General features: G+C 43.7%; 1 long non-coding RNA gene across 7 annotated transcripts in view, besides 1 other annotated feature; it reads right to left on the reverse strand.

Moving 5' to 3' along the window:
• The window catches only part of LOC105375199 (uncharacterized), a 191,528-nt gene that overhangs the window by 68,539 nt on the left and 106,304 nt on the right, over positions 1 to 16,685 (reverse strand). For 6 of the 7 annotated variants that reach the window (XR_927114.3, XR_927113.3, XR_927117.3 and 3 more), the window contains 2 exons: positions 11,658 to 11,748; positions 11,057 to 11,319 (listed from right to left, as the gene is read on the reverse strand). This is a non-coding gene — a long non-coding RNA (uncharacterized LOC105375199). The remainder of the gene's footprint in view (positions 1 to 11,056; positions 11,320 to 11,657; positions 11,749 to 16,685) is intronic. The other variant, XR_927122.3, reaches the window with a different exon arrangement.
• Positions 2,612 to 3,285: an enhancer, noted in NCBI's record as "OCT4-NANOG-H3K27ac hESC enhancer chr7:26050032-26050705 (GRCh37/hg19 assembly coordinates)". NCBI's record gives its function as "activates a minimal SCP1, AML or CMV promoter by ChIP-STARR-seq in primed H9 embryonic stem cells {active_cell/tissue: H9 hESC(primed)}" and the evidence as "EXISTENCE:reporter gene assay evidence [ECO:0000049][PMID:30033119]".

Consider the following 16,685-nt stretch of genomic DNA (forward strand, 5'->3'; position numbering starts at 1 on the left):
GGAGGGAGAGATGGGAGGGAGCAGTAGGAGCCAGGCAGGAGAGGAGGGACCTGGAGCAGTGACTTGGGCTCAATTTGGAAGGACCAGAAAATTAGTGGGGAAGACCACTCCAGAGTTGAGTTGGCACAAGAAGTAAGAGCAGCCAGGCGCAGTGGCTCACACCTGTAATCCCAGCACTTTGGGAGGCTGAGGTGGGCAGATCACCTGAGGTCCAGAATTTGAGACCAGCCTAGCCAACATGGCAAAACCCTGTCTATACTAAAAATACAAAAATTAGCTGGGCGTGGTGGCAGGCGCCTGTAATCCCAACACTTTGGGAGGCTGAGATGGGTGAAATGCTTCAGGCCAGGAGTTTGAGACCAGCCTGACCAACATGGTGAAACCCCATCTCTACAAAGAATACAAAAATTAGCCAGGCATTGTGGTGTGCACCTACAATCCCAGCTACTCGGGACGCTGAGGCACGAGAATCGCTTGAACCCGGAAGGCAGAGGCTGCAATGAGCCGAGATCGCGCCACTGCACTCCAGCCTGAGCAACATAGCAAAAAAAAAAAAAAAAAAAAAAAAAGGAGCTGGTACTGGGAAACAAGATGGCAAGATCGGGGCGGGGTGGGGGGCAGGCGTGGGGTGGAGGTGCCACTGATGAGGAACATGAAGGTCAGGCAAGACATTCAGGTTATGCAGTGGATTCCTGAGTAACAACAGACTTTAACATTGATTGAGGGTTTACCATAAGCAGGAGCTGTTCTAAGCGCTTTGCAGGGATTACCTCATTCGTGGAAGGCTGATTTCCCAGCTGAGGAAACCTGGGGGAGCTCAGCATCCCTGAGGCCTTAAGGAAGGTACTCAGGCCTCATGACTCCTAAGTGACGGGACAGGATGGGAAACCAGGCTACTGCATGCCCCAAGAACCATGCTGTTCGCTGCCAGCCCCTATCCCTTCCTGGCATGTGATGTGATCAAAGTGACATAAGCACAACACTAACAAGGAGATGACGGCACCAGGGTTCCTTCTTCATACCCTTAATCTGCATAATAGTCAACTCAGGGTAGGGCTTAGGCAGTGGCGGGTTGGGAGATTCAGGATATGTTGTAGCAAAAGCTAGAGCTTAAAAGCTATTTGCTAAATGACTGTCTCTGGTGTGTGTAAGATGCAGTCGCTTTACAGTTGATTATATGTTAACCCTCTTTGTTCCTTGGTTTTGTCCTTGGTAATCTGTATCACGTTAGCGTATTCATCTGTTTGTTTGTTTGTTTTTTTTTTTTGAGATGGAGTCTTGCTTGGTCACCCAGGCTAGAGTGCAGTGGCACGATCACAGCTCACTGCAGCCTCTGCCTCCCAGGTTCAAGTGATTCTCCTATCTCAGCCTCCCAAGTAGCTGTGATTACAGGCACCTGCCACCACGCTTGGCTAATTTTTTTATATTTTTAGTAGAGACAGGGTTTCACCATGTTGGCCAGGCTGGTCTCAAACTCCTGACCTCAGGTGATCCACCCGCCTCTGCCTCCCAAAGTGCTGGGATTACAGGCGTGAGCCACTGCCCCTGGCCTCATCTTACATTTAATACCACTAAGGAGATGGGGAACGCAATTGTATTATTCCCTTCCTTGATAAAAGCTCAGCTCAGCACCACCCTCAGTGAGTACCTTGACAATGGAATCCGGTGACCACTTACTGTAAAAACGTGTAGCCAGCAAAACTTCTGGTTCTTAGGAAATGCAATCCACATCCTCGCTGGTGAGGGCAACTGACTCATGTGTGGGGTATTAGGAGGGGGCTTATTTGTATGTGTGTTTCATTCATTCATTCAACAAGTACTTATTGAGCACCTACTATGCACCAGGCACTGTTCTTTTATATTTATCTTTTAATTTTTAAAATTTTTTTAGAGATGGAGTTTTGCCATGTTGCCCAGGCTGGTCTTAAACTCTTGGACTTAAGCACTCTACCTGCCTCAGCCTCCCAAAGTGCTGGGATTACAGGTGTGAGCCACCACACTTGGCTAGCCAGGCACTGTTCTAGGGGCTTGGGACACATCATGAATACAACACACAAAGGTCCCTTCCCTCGTAGAGCTGGCATTTTCAGAGCGACAAGTAAGTAATTTATATAGGGTGTTGGAGGATAATTCCTGTCTTGGAAAAAATAGAAAACAAAGGAAGGTCTAAGAGAGATCAGGATGGGAGAGGGGAGGAGTGGGGCAGTTTGTAGTATTACATGGGATAACCAGAAAAGATGACACTTGAGCCAAGACTGAAGAAGGTGAGTGAGAAAGCCATGTAGATATGGGGAGGAAGCCTGGAGCTCAAGGCACAGCAAGGAGGTCAGTGTGGCTGGAGTGGAGGAAGCTCAGGCTGAGGGCATGGTAGAACACGAGGTCAGAACATGAGAGGCTGGAGAGTCACATCACAAAGGGCTATTGGAAGGGCTTGGGCCCTTTACTGTCAGTAAGACGGGGAGCCCCTGCCAGGTCAAAGACAGGGGTGGGACAGGCATGGTGGCTCACATCTGTAATCCCAGCCCTTTGGGAGGCCGAGGCAAGTGAATCACTGGAGTTCAAGACCAGCCTGGCCAACATGGTGAAACCCCATCTCTACTAAAAATACAAAAGTTAGCAAAGTGTGGTGGCAAGCACCTCTAGTCCCAGCTACTCAGGAGGCTGAGGCAGGAGAATCACTTAAACCCGGGAGGCAGGGGTTGCAGTGAGCCAAGACCACACCATTGCACTCCAGCCTGGGCAACATGAACAAAACTCTGTCTCAAAAAAAAAAAAAAAAATGCATAGGGCTGACATGATCTTTCTTAATCATAATAGAATAGCCTGTAACAGGCTATACATAAGAATAGCCTGTTACAGGCTATACATAAGAATAGCCTGTAACAGGCTATACATAAGAATAGCCTGTAACAGGCTATACATAAGAATAGCCTGTAACAGGCTATACATAAGAATAGCCTGTAACAGGCTATACATAAGAATAGCCTGTAACAGGCTATACATAAGAATAGCCTGTAACAGGCTATACATAAGAATAGCCTGTAACAGGCTATACATAAGAATAGCCTGTAACAGGCTATACATAAGAATAGCCTGTTACAGGCTATACATAAGAATAGCCTGTAACAGGCAAGGGTGAGCTAGTGCAATAATCCAAGAGGGAGAAGGTGGTGGCTAAAGCCAAGGTAGTCATATTTCCCCCTACTGTAGTGCCTGCCCAGTGCCGTTCCAGAGCTGAGGAGTAACTGATGGGGTCAGAGTCAACCGAAGCAGATCCTCATGAAGAGACAGCACAAGGGAGACCAATGTTGGAGAAAATGGGACACACCATTGTGTACTGTGCAAATGGCAACAAAATGAAGAATCAGACACACAGATCCACTGGTTACGAAAAAGAGTGTCCGCCACCGGGACCACATTGCAGGCGAACAAAGCATTAACACCTGCAATATTGAAACCACAGTCTCTTTGACCTGCTGCCCCCCGTGTAAGCCATCAGCTTTGTCTTTATACTGTCCGGGAATCTTTCCATAGGGATTAGGATTTTGGCCAGTCCTTCCCCAGATGATTCCTGTCCTCATGTGAAATGCCTTGGTTCCCCGTAAGATGTCTTTCTCTAGCCATTTGTAAGTACTGAAGAAATCCACTCTGTTCTAACAGGTTGCTTTAACTAGATTTCTAATGTATATTAATAGTTTCACGAAACCACATAGGAAGTATTTTACATTTGTATTGTATTTTTTGCCATAGAAGTCACCACAAGTGCTTCTTTGCATTTTCTTGTTTCCTGAAGCAATTTCCTCTGCTATTGTTTTAGTTACAAAATGTTTTATTAATTTTAAAACTGGATTCTTTTGTGAAATTTTGGTGATCTTGTGTTAAAATACTGATATGAAGGGCTTTGCCTGCTAAAGGAAACAAATATTTCTGAAGGTTTTAAAAGAAAGGTCCACTTGGTCCTTGTTTACACAGATCACTTATAACTACAAACCTGAGACTGAAGAATGTGCATGAAAACCCACTTTGTATTTCCCACTGTTTTGTGCTCAATGGATTATCATTCTTAGATTATTCAGAATTCATTCAATTCAGCCATGCCTCTAAAGTTAAAAACGCCTAACGCCTCTTCCTCTGGGCTTTGAAGAAAAAGGAAGAATAATCCCAGATTTTCAGGCCCTTTAGTGTCTCTCTCCAGTTTTTGACCCAGATTCCCGCTCAGGTGAAGTTGGCTGTTGGGTGAAAGTGCAGCTTGATAGTTCATCTTGGGACCTCATCTCTTCCTCTGCCAATATGATTCTGGCACTGCCAACTTCACGTACTTCAACTTATCAGTGAAAGTTCCAGAGAGCATCCTATGACTCCCCCAGAACACCAGCAATGACCCCTATTTCCAGAGGTGGAGTTTGGGGACTGGGGAGGTCTCACGTGGTGGAAAAGCAGTTCTGTCATTTGACAAGTATTTTTTAAGCATCTGCTACCTGCCTGCACCCTGCCTTCAAAGATCCACCATGCAGTGGCTCTAAAACGCTGCAGCAGGTTAGCCTTTCCCCTGGGGAGGACATCAAAAGGCTCTCGCAGGAGGTCTAGCTGTGGGACCATGCTGGACACATGGAGCCATCCCCTCAGTGCTGCCTGCATATCAGAAATACCCAGCATGGGCTAACCAGGGGACATCACTGGGAATTATGTGATGAGCAGGAAACTCATCCTCACACCCATGGTTCAGAACACAAGGCCTGGGGCCAGCCAGGTGGGAGTGAAATCACAGCCCTGCCAGGCACTGGCTATGTGATCTTGGACAGGTCACCTCACCTCCATGAGCCTTGGCCTCCTCATCTGTAAGGCTGGTTCAGTCAAAGTGCCAACCTCACAAGCTTATCAGGAAAGTTCGCTGAATCCTCACACATATTATAGGGCCTGGCACAAAATGCATGGCCAGGTCATGCTCACTGTTGTGTTGGTTATTGATTCTATTTCAGCACAGGGTAACGAGCAGCATCTGTGGGTGGTTGATCACTGGTATGAGCAGGACATGGAGCTAATGACATTTTCTTCTTTTTTTTTTTTTTTTTTTTTTGAGACGGAATCTCACTCTGTCACCCAGGCTGGAGTACAATGGCACAATCTTGGCTCACTGCAATTTCTGCCTCCCAGGTTCAAGCAATTCTCCTGCCTCAGCCTCCTGAGTAGCTGGGATTACAGGCATGTGCCACCACACCCAGCTAATTTTTGTATTTTTAGTAGAGATGGGGTTTCACCATGTTTGTCAGGCTGATCTCGAACTCCTGACCTTGTGATCCACCTGCCTTGGCCTCCCAAAGTGCTGGGATTACAGCCACCGTGCCCGGCCTAATGACATTTTAAGACAAAAATATGTGGCAATCCTCCAGTGACCAGATTTTCCCTGCCTACCTCCAACAGCACCAGCCTCAGTGACAGGGAAGACACAGATGTCTGAATTCAGAGCAGAGGCCACATATGGAAGGGCTGGAACAATGTTTTGTTGTCACTGCTGCTGCTGCCACAGTGGTTTCATTTGAATTGAATGTGAATGCATGTGGAGGAGGACCTACCTGTGTTCTCCAAGGAGCTCTGAGGACCTACCTGTGTTCTCTGATTGCCTCGCCCAGCAGCTGTCCTCCTGCCTTGCTCTGAAGCCTTTGGATGTCTGGCAACCCCTCGCCTCACTAAACACCCAGATGTGCCCATTCAGTGGTGGGAAACCTCTCGGTGTCAGATTGTAACACAATCAGGATTCTTTACAAGTTCTACTGCTTTGGTCAAAAATGAGGACTTGCTTGTCAGCCTTCTTCTTGGCTCTTAGCAAGGCTTTGGGTTTCTAAAGCATGGGTGACATTTGGGCTGTGGAGGTAACGCTCCAAAAAGGGCAGGGAAGGCTCTCTTACGCTTTCTGATGGGGCGTTCTCTTGGTGGTGTGCAGCGGACCTCAAATCCTGTGAGCAATTTTTCTCCAGACGTGGATAAGAGGCCATTCTTTTTGTTCATTCTCCTGTAGACTCTGGTTGATGTCTTGCCAATGTAGCAGGATGCTTCCCCACTCCAAATGGGCAGGAATCCAAGAAATGCCGTTTTCTGTTTGTCCGGGCACAGATAATTGAGGAAAATCCCTGAAGCAAATGTACAGTTTATATTTCTCCAGCGCCTGTTGCAGATAGTCTCTTATTTCTTAGCAACAGGACCAAGCCAGAGGCAAAATTCAGTTCAACACAAGAACCATGCTTTTCCAAACCTGTAGGATCCTACTGTGCATTGGGCTCTCGATCCCACTGTGCAGTGGTGTTTTCTCTTGTCCCATAAATTCCTCTCTACTGCTTGTGACATGAGTAACCCTGAGAAAGCAGAATGATTTTTAACATCATCTTATAGCAAACTTAATCTGGAGGGCAAATCTGCTGCTAACAACCACACAACGGAAAGGCCACTTGATTACTTCCAAAGTCAAACCGAGCAATCCTTTGCATTATCAGAGCACTCTTCTGGGAGAGCCCACACGCAAAAGATCGCATCTTGATGTTCATAAAATAAGGCTTTGGTGAGTCAACAGGAGTCGAGGGCTTCACTTGTGAATTCAGATTGTAGTTAGTGGTTGTTTTTTCTTTAAGCCACTAAGCTTGAATTAGATGAAGAGTGTGACTCATGAAATAGGTTTTATTTAAGGGATTTGGGGTCTTGATTTTAAATGTATGTTTATGGATATGGGAATGCTGTGGGAAAAAAAACATATAATCATGGATAAATAATCAGATTAGAAATCCAGAATGCATTCCAGCTGTAGGATTCGTATTGTTGTTGGCCGGCTTTGTTCTGGGGATGGGGGGAAGGGGTGCAGTGTATCCAAACTTGCCGCATGTAACTACACTTCCCACAGGATTTGTTTTTTTAGCATAACAACAAATGCTTATACACTTAAAAGTGAGAGTTAAACAGTGTTTCTTTATTTTGATTAGCCATCCAGTAGTTTAACCCTGACTTTTTTCCACTCTGGTTTTCTAACCTCACCAGTGGCAAGAGTTGAAGAAAAACCCTTAGTTTTCACTGGGAACCTCATAACTTTTTTTTAACTTTTATTTTAGGTTCAGGAGTCCATGTGCAGGTTTGTTCTATAGGTAAACTCATGTCACAGGGGTTTGTTGTACAGATTATTTCATCACTCAGGTATTAAGCCCAGTACCCAATAGTTATTTTTTTCTGCTCCTCTTCCTCCTCCCACCCTCCCCACTTAAGGAGGCCCCAGTGTCTATTGTCCTCTTCTTTGTGTTCATAAGTTCTCATCATTTAGCTCCCACTTATAAGTGAAAATATGCAGTATTTGGTTTTCTGTTCCTGCGTTAGTTTGCTAAGGATAATAACTTCCAGTTCCATCCGTGTTCTCACAAAAGACAAGATCTTATTCTTTTTTATGGTTGCATGGTATTCCATGGTGTATATGTACCACATTTTCTTTATCCAATCTGTCATTGATGGGCATTTAGGTTGATTCTATGTCTTTGCTATTGTGAATAGTGCTGCAATGAACATTCATGAGTGTGTATCTTTATGGTAGAATGATTTGTATTCCTCTGGGTATATACCCAGTAATGGGATTGCTGGGACAAATGGTAGTTCTGCTTTCAGCTGTTGGAGGAACTGCCATACCGCTTTTCACAATGGTTAAACTAATTTACACTCCCAACAACAATGTATAAGTGTTCTCTTTTCTCCACAGCCTCACCAGCATCTGTTATTTTTTGACTTTCTAATGATAGGCATTCTTACTGGTGTGAGATGGTATCTCATTGTGGTTTTCATTTGCATTTCTTTAATAATCAGTGATATTGAGCTTTTTCTTCATATGCTTGTTGGCTGCATGTATGTCTTCTTTTGAAAAGTGTCGTTCAAGTTCTTTGCCCACTTCTTAATGGGGTTGTTTTTCTCTTGTAAATTTCTTTAATTTCCTTATAGATGCAGGCTATTAGACCTCTCTCAGATGCATAGTTTGCAAATGTTTTCTTCTATTCTGTAGGTTGTCTGTTTACTCTGTTGATAGTTTCTTTTGCTGTGCAGAAGCTCTTTAGTTCAATTAGATCCCATTTGTCAATTTTTGCTTTTGTTGCAATTGCTTTTGGTATATTTGTCATGAAACCTTGCTCATTCCTGTCCAGTAGGGTATTATCTAGGTTTTCTTCCAGAGTTCTTTTAGTTTTGGGTTTTACACTTAAGTCTCTGATCCATCTTGAGTTGATTTTTGTATATGGTGTAAGGAAGGTGTCCAGCTTCAATCTTCTGCATATGGCTAGCCAGTTATCCCAACACCATTTATTGAATAGGTAGTCTTTTCTCCATTGCTTTTGTCAGCTTTGTCAAAGATCAGATTGTTGTAGGTGTGCGGCCTTATTTCTGGGCTGTCTATTCTGTTTCATTGGTCTATGTGTCTGTTTCAGTGCCATGCTGTTTGAGTTATTGTAGCCCTGGAGTATAGTTTGAAGTCAGAGAGTGTGATATCTCCAGCTTTGCTCTTTTTGCTCAGAATTGCCTTAGCATTTTGGGCTCTTTTTTGGTTCCACATGAATTTTAAAATAGTTTTTTCTAATTCTGTAAAGAATGTCATTGATAATTTGATACGAATAGCATTGAATCTGTAAATTGCTTTGGGCAGTATGGCCATTTTAATGATATTGATTCTTCCTATCCATGAGCATGGAATGTTTTTCTATTAGTTTGTGTCTTCACTGATTTCTTTGAACAGTGTTTTGTAGTTCTCATTGTAGAGATCTTTCACATCCTTGGTTAGCTGTATTACTAGGTGTTTTATTCTTCATGTGGCAATTGTGAATGGGATTGCCTTCCTCATTTGGCTCTTGGCTTGGCTGTTATTGGTGTATAGGAATGCAAGTGATTTTTGTACATTGATTTTGTATCCTGAAACTTTGCTAAAGTTGTTTATCAGCTTAAGAAGCTTTTGGGACAAGACTGTGGAGTTTTTTAGATGTAGAATCATGTCATCTGCAAACAGGGATACATTGACTTCCTCTCTTCCTATTGGATGCCCTTTATTTCTCTCTCTTGCCTGATTACTCTGGCTAGGACTTCCAATACTGTGTTGAATAGGAGTGGTAAGAGAGGGCATCATTGTTTTGTGCCAGTTTTCAAGGGGAATGCTTGAGCTTTTACCCATTCATTATGCTGCTGGCTGTGGGTTTGTTACATATGGCTCCTATTATTTTGAGGTATGTTCCTTCAATACCTAGCTATTGAGAGTCTTTAACATGAAGTGGTGTTGAATTGTATCAAAAGCTTTTTTCTGCATCTATTGAGATAATCATGTGGTTTTTGTCTTTAGTTCTGTTTATGTGATTAATCACATTTATTGATTTGTGTATGTTAAGCTAACCTTGCATACTCACAATGATGTCTATCTGACCATGGTGGATTAGCTTTTTGATGTGATACTGGATTTGGTTTCCAAGTATTTTGTTGAAGATTTTTGCAATGATGTTCATCAAGGATATTGGCCTGAAGTTTTCTGTTTTTGTTGGGTCTCTGCCAGGTTTTGGTATCAGGATGATGCTGGCCTCATAGAGTGAGGTGGAGAGGGCCAGGCACGGTGGCTCACGCCTGTAATCCCAGCACTTTGGGAGGCTGAGGCGGGTGGATCACGAGGTCAAGAGATCAAGACCATCCTGGCCAACATGGTGAAACCCTGTCTCTACTAAAAATATAAAAATTAGCTGGGTGTGGTGGTGTGCACCTGTAGTCCCAGCTACTTGGGAGGCTGAGGCAGGAGAATCGCTTGAACCCGGGAGGTGGAGGTTGCAGTGAGCTGAGATCGTGCCACTGCACTCCAGCCTGGTGACAGAGTAAGATTCCATCTCAAAAAAAAAAAAAAAAAGAATGAGCTGGGGAGGAGTCCCTCCTCATCAATTTTTTGGAATGGTTTCAGTAGGAATTGTACCGTCTCTTCTCTGTACATTTGGTAGAATTTGGCTGTGAATCTATCTGGTCCTGGGCTTTTTTGGTTGGTAGGGTATTTATTACTAATTCAACTAGAGAGACCATTATTGGTCTGTTCAGGGAATCAATTTCTTCCTGGTTCAGACTTGAAAAAGTGTATGTGTCCAGAAATTTATCCATTTCTTCTAGGTTTTCTAGTTTGTGTGCATAGAGAACTTCATAACTTTCATCCAGTTCAGTTACATTTGAGGGTTTCTTCTAACAAATGCATAGTACTTTCCATTCCCCTTCCCTCCCACCAGTACACATAGGTTTGTTTGGTTGTTTTTAATTGGTTAGTCTGATGTAAAAATGGAAAGATCCGTTAGGCATCGATTTGGAGTGTCAGGTTCAGATGAAGGCAAGAGGCAGGGACCATCGGTCCTTAGTATCTAAATGAACACTTCAGGATGGCCAGCCTCTGCAGACATCTTGGATCGGACACCACTCACCATGAATGTTGCCTCTCTGACGGACCACCTGTTGACCCAGGAGAAGCCAAAGCTGGAGAGCCCCAGAGTGAGGGAAGGAGTTATTCTGGAAATGTCACCTCCCATTTTCTAATTTGGGATCTTGACTCTGAATCTTCATTTGAATGCAGGTGAATTAGACCATCTCTCATGTTCTTTCCAACTCTAAAATTTCATCCAAGCTTGATTCCCTTTATGGGCCCATGAGGTCTCAGAGGTCATGCAGGAAAATTAATAATAACTGTGCCCCAGGAATTAAAGGTCAGGACCCTGGAAATAAAGTCTGGAGACTTAAGTGTACAATTGCTAGGAGAGCCCCAACATGTGATTTTTCTTCCTCTCTAAAATTATGTATAGGGAAGATGATTATCTACTAGAGGTGTTGTATTAATTAAGTGAGATAATGTGTAAAACGTACGGCACAGTACTAGGCACACAGTAGTTTCTCAGTGAAAGGCATTGAATGAATGGCTAAGTGCATAAAACCATCAAGCAAGCAACTTACCCCAAGCATCTCAATTAGCAAGGCACAGAGCCAGGATGCAAACTGAGATCCTCTGATTTTAAGTCTAGGGCTCATTCCCCTGTTATCGTACCTACTGATATGTCCCCAAAGTTGGTTGTCTGGTAGTTAATTGTGGTCATTCTGAAGCAGAAGTTCTGCCTAGACATTCATTCCAAATTATCTGGTTCAAGGTAAGGAATCTCATCTCATTGTTGGAATCTCTCAGGTGGTTGGCAAGAGCTTGTGTCCAAATTGTACACAAATCACCTGGGTCTTCCTCCTGTATTAGGTCCAGCATTCATACCTTTACTTATTTCCATTAAGCATTTATTGAGATCTTCCTTGGAGTATATGCTGTAAAGATAATAAATCTTGCGTCTGTAATCTTTCATTACAGAAATACAAGGCAGGGTCCTTAGGCATCTGGGAAGATGAAACAGGCACACACAAGAGTTGAGGAGCAGCACAAACATTATGCAAAGAGTCAAAGAGAATTCCTCAAATGAGAATGCACCGTGGAACACCGAGAAGAGGGGGCTTGATGGGGACTGGGAGATGAGCTACAACTCTATCTTGAAGGGTTTTCCTGAAGGGGAAGATTTAGACTGTTCCCTGAACTATAATGTTCTTCTCTCAGGTACCCTGCTGAGTGCAGGGAACAGTCTACATCAAAAATAGAATTCTTTACTCACCAAAATGGTGCTAATACTAGTAGTTTTCAAGCATTATCCATATCTTCTTACACAGTTGTTCTCAATGCATGGCCATGAGCATCAGGATCACCTGTGGGTTGTGGTATAACAAAAAATATATTTGGTCTTTGTCTCTGGTTCCCAGCACAAAGCTCCTAAGACTCTTGAAATACCGTGAGTGATAGGAGCATCTTTTTTATACATAAGGAGCTCCTTTCAAGCCATATGTGAGTTTATGCTAATAAGGTGACTCTTATGGTTTGGACGTATGTGTCTTTCCAAAATTCATATGTTGGAATCTAAGACTTGACATGATAGTATTAAGGGGTGGGGGCAAGCCGGGCGTGGTGGCTCACGCCTGTAATCCCAGCACTTTGGGAGGCTGAGGCAGGCAGGTCACCTAAGGTCAGGAGTTCAAGACCAGCCTGGCCAATATAGTGAAACCCTGTCTCTACTAAAAATACAAAAATTAGCCAGTCGTGGTGGCAGGCGCTTGTAATCCCAGCTACTCAGGAGGCTGAGGCAGGAGAATCACTTGAACCCGGGAGGCGGAGGTTGCAGTGAGCCGAGATTGCGCCACTACACTCCAGGCTGGGCAACAGAGCGAGACTCCATCTCAAAAAATAAATTAATTAATTAAATTAAATTAAAAAAGAGGTGGAGGGTCTAGGAGGCAATTAAATCATGTGGATTCCACCCTCGTGAATGGGATGGGCACCTGTGTGAAAGAGCTCAAGGGAACCAGCTAGGCCTTTTGCCCTTCTACCTTCTGCCATGTGAGGACACAGTGTTGGTCCCCTCTGGAGGATGCAGCTACAAGGCATTATCTGCAGAGCACAGCCCTCATCACACACTGAATCTGCCAGCACCTTGATCTTAGACTTTCCAACCTCCAGAATTATAAAAAAATTAATTTCGACCGGGCATGGTGGCTCACACCTATAATCCCAGCACTTTGGGAGGCCGAGGCAGGCGGATCACGAGGTCAGGAGATTGAGACCATCCTGGCTAACACGGTGAAACCCCGTCTCTACTAAAAATACAAAAAATTAGCCAGGTGTGATGGCAGGCACCTGTAGTCCCAGCTACTTGGGAGGCTGAGGCAGGAGAATGGCGTGAACCTGGGAGGCAGAGGTTGCAGTGAGCTGAGACTGCGCCACTGCACTCCAGCCTGTACGACAAAGCGAGACTCCATCTCAAAAAAAAAAAAAAAAAAATTTCTACTGGGAGGCCGAGGTGGGTGGATCACCTGAGGTCAGGAGTTCGAGACCAGCCTGGCCAATATGGTGAAACCCTGTGTCTACTAAAAATACAAAAATTAGCCAGGCATGGTGGCGGGTGCCTCTAATCCCAGCTACTGAGGAGGCTGAGGCAGGAGAATCGCTTGAACCCGGGAGGCAGAGGTTGCAGTGAGCTGAGATCACACCATTGCACTCCAGCTTGGGCAACAAGAGCGAAACTCTGTCTCAAAAAAAAAAAAAACTCTATTATTTATAAATTACACAGCCTGAGGTACTTGGTTATAGCAGCACAAATGGACTGAGACAGTGGGCCCATAGTTTTATGGGAAAGGCTGGCCGCAACAGAAAGACCAGGCATGTGATTAGCGGGTTAGAACTTTCAGCCCCAACTCCCAACTTCCAGGAAAGGGAGAGGGACTGGAGATCATGCCTACAAAATGAAAACTCTTAAATGATGAGGTTGGGGGAACTTCTAGTTTGGTGAACACATTGATAGGCCTTGAGAGGGATGCAACAGAGAGGGCACGGAAGCCCTGTGCCCCCACCCCTTCCTAGCCCTGCAGATCTCTTCTATTTGGCTGTTCCTAAATTATACCCTTTGTAATAAGGCAGCAATTATAAGTATAGGGTTTTCCTGAGTTCTTTGAATCATTCTAGTAAATTGTCACACCTGAGCAGGCTGGGGGGCCTGAGGAAACTTTGAATTTGTAGCCAAGTTAAGCAGAAGCCCAGGTAGCCTGGGGTGCTGAGACTTGTGGCTGGCATCTGAAGTGAGGACAGTTGTATGGGCTGGAGCCCTTCAACCTGTGGAGTCTGATGCTAACTCCAGATAGTTAGTGTCAGAATAGCACTGGTGTCAGAGAATTACTCTTCGAAAACAGCATAGGGGTATTTATTGCAATTCAGATTCCTAAGCCCACAGGACAAACTGCTGAATCAGACTGTAGGTAGGACCAGGGAAGCTGCCCAGGTGATTCTGAGGCACATCAGGTTTTGTGAACCACTATCATAGCTTCTGCTTTGGCAATTTCCATATCAAACCCAGAGTCTATCCTGCCAGAGGCACTAAGCTCAGAACCCTGGCAATGAACCAGCTTGCCAATGGTACTTCTCCTGTGGAATTGGAGAGACTGAACAATAGACACTTCTAGCATTTGCGTCCCACTATTTCAAGAAGCATCTTCATCAGTCCTTCCCACCTGGCTTCTTTCTACATGACCCCTTTGGGAAAATTCTGTGGAGCCAAAAGGGAGGGGTGTATGCCTCAGGTTAGCTCTTTCCTATTAATAAATCCTCTCCAGTTTAGGAAGCCCCTCATCAGCCTGCAAGGCTTCCATATCTCTAGAGGCTTTAAGGCTGTGTCTGCTCATGTTGGGGAGGGGGGAATACCCAAAGAAAAGTGTGGAAAGTCCATGAACACCCCCATCTCCACTCAGGCAGGAGAGGGCATTCCTCAGGCCCAGAAGCCTCTACAAGCCTGAAGAGCAGGGACACAGAGTAAAAATATTTCTGTCTTTGGTCAACAACATGCACCCAGATGGATGTTTTTTAATACAGTAGAGAATAAAAATAAAAGCAAAATACACAAAAAAATCGTCCGCAATCCTACCACACAATGACAACCACGGTTGGTCCTGTATTTGCATTTACTTCCAGTCTTTCTCTACACATTTTATTTTGTTTTATTTTATTTTATTTTATTTTAATTTTATTTTGAGACAGAGGCTCACTCTGTCGCGTAGGCTGGAGTGCAGTGATGCAATCTCAGCTCACTGCAACTTCCACCTCCCGATTCAAATGATTCTTGTGCCTCAACCTCCTGAGTAGCTGGGATTACAGGCATGTGCCACCACACCCAGCTAATGTTTTCTTTTTTTTTCTTAGTAGAGACAGGGTTTCACCATGTTGGCCAAGCTGGTGTCAAACTCCTGGCCTCAAGTGATCCACCCACCTCAGCCCCCCAAAGTGCTGAGATTACAGGCGTGAGCCACTATGCCTAGCCTCTCTACGCATTTTAAAAACAAGCCTGAGATCTGTTTTCATGTTAATGACTAGTTTCCAGGACAGTAAACAGAAAAGCACAGTTTCTTCAGGTTCCTCTCAGCAGAGCACGTGGCTTTCAGCATCCAACAGCTTTTGTTCCTTGTGCCATGGAAAACCTACTCTCTCAAGGAAGGCTTTTTTAGTTTTTACTTGCCTGTTCATTAAAAAAAAAAAATCCAAACAATATCAAAATACATAGTCTTTCTCCATCCCATGGTTACAGATTCACCTTTTCATATAAAAACATATAGGATATACATCTATACTGCTTTTTAATCTATAAAAAATTGAGTAATAATGTAGATTCTCTTTGGTGACTTATTTTTTAAACCTACCAACATACTGTGGATACCATAGATTTTTTAGGGAGAAAAAGAGAAAGCAGAAATAAAAACTGGGCTAGAAAGTGAAAACGGCTTCTTTAATCTGGATGCCAGGAAGAAAGTATGTACGAGGTTTGCTATGCTAATTGAAACCACATCCCAAGACTATTATATACTTTGTCCTAAGTATGGGATTGAGAAATGTAACTACGTGGGTTGCCATTTCTTAAAGCACCCAGAACAAATAATAAATGTATGGAAATATGGCCTAAGAAAAGGTGTAAAATAAGTCTTAATCACATGCCATATGTGATTAAGCATATGGCATAAGCCTGAAATTATACTTTCTTTTTTTAAACATAAAATAGTTAGAAAATAGTGAATGCCAAAACTAGATTTACCTTTTCCTTTGAAAAAAACCAATCAATTAGTTCTCTTTTTTTTAGAATTTTATATTATATTTTATTTTTTTGACCTTGAGAAAGTTACTTTTTTTCCATAAGTTATTGGGGTACAGGTGGTATTTGGTTACATGAGTAAGTTCATTAGTGGCGATTTGTGAGATTTTGGTGCACCCATCACCTAAGCAGTATATACTGCACCATATTTGTAGTCTTTTATCCCTCGCCCCCCTCCCACACTTGCCCCCAAGTCCCCAAAGTCCATTGTATCATTCTTATGCCTTTGTGTCCTAGTAGCTTAGCTCCCACATATCAGTGAGAACATACGATGTTTGGTTTTCCATTCCGGAGTTACTTCACTTAGAATAATAGTCTCCAATCTCAACCAGGTCACTGCAAATGCTGTTACTTCATTCCTTTTTATGGCTGCATAGTGTTCCATGGTATATATATACCATGGTTTATCCACTCATTGATTGATGGGCATTTGGATTGGTACCAAGATTTTGCAATTGTGAATTGTGCTGCTATAAACATGCATGTGCAAGTGTCTTTTTCAAATAATGACTTCTTTTCCTCTGGGTAGATACTCAGTAGTGGGATTGCTGGATCAAATGGTAGTTCTACTCTTAGTTCTTTAAGGAATCTCCACACTGTTTTCCATGGTGGTTGTACTAGTTTACATTCCCACCAGCAGTGCAGAAGTGTTCCCTGTTCACCACATCCATGCCAACTTTCATACATGTCCGTGTGAAGAGACCACCAAACAGGCTTTGTGTGAGCAACATGGCTGTTTATTTCACCTGGGTGCAGGTGGGCTGAGTCCGAAAAGAGAGTCAGCGAAGGGAGATATGGGTGGGGCCGTTTTATAGGATTTGGGAAGGTAATGGAAAATTACAGTCAAAGGGGGTTGTTCTCTGGTGGGCAGGGGTGGATCTCACAAAGTACATTCTCAAGGGTGGGGAGAATTACAAAGAACCTTCTTAAGGGTGGGGGAGATTACAAAGTACATTGATCAGT

The sequence above is a fragment of the Homo sapiens genome, chromosome 7, assembly GCF_000001405.40.
Source record: "Homo sapiens chromosome 7, GRCh38.p14 Primary Assembly".
Taxonomy (NCBI): Eukaryota; Metazoa; Chordata; class Mammalia; order Primates; family Hominidae; genus Homo; species Homo sapiens.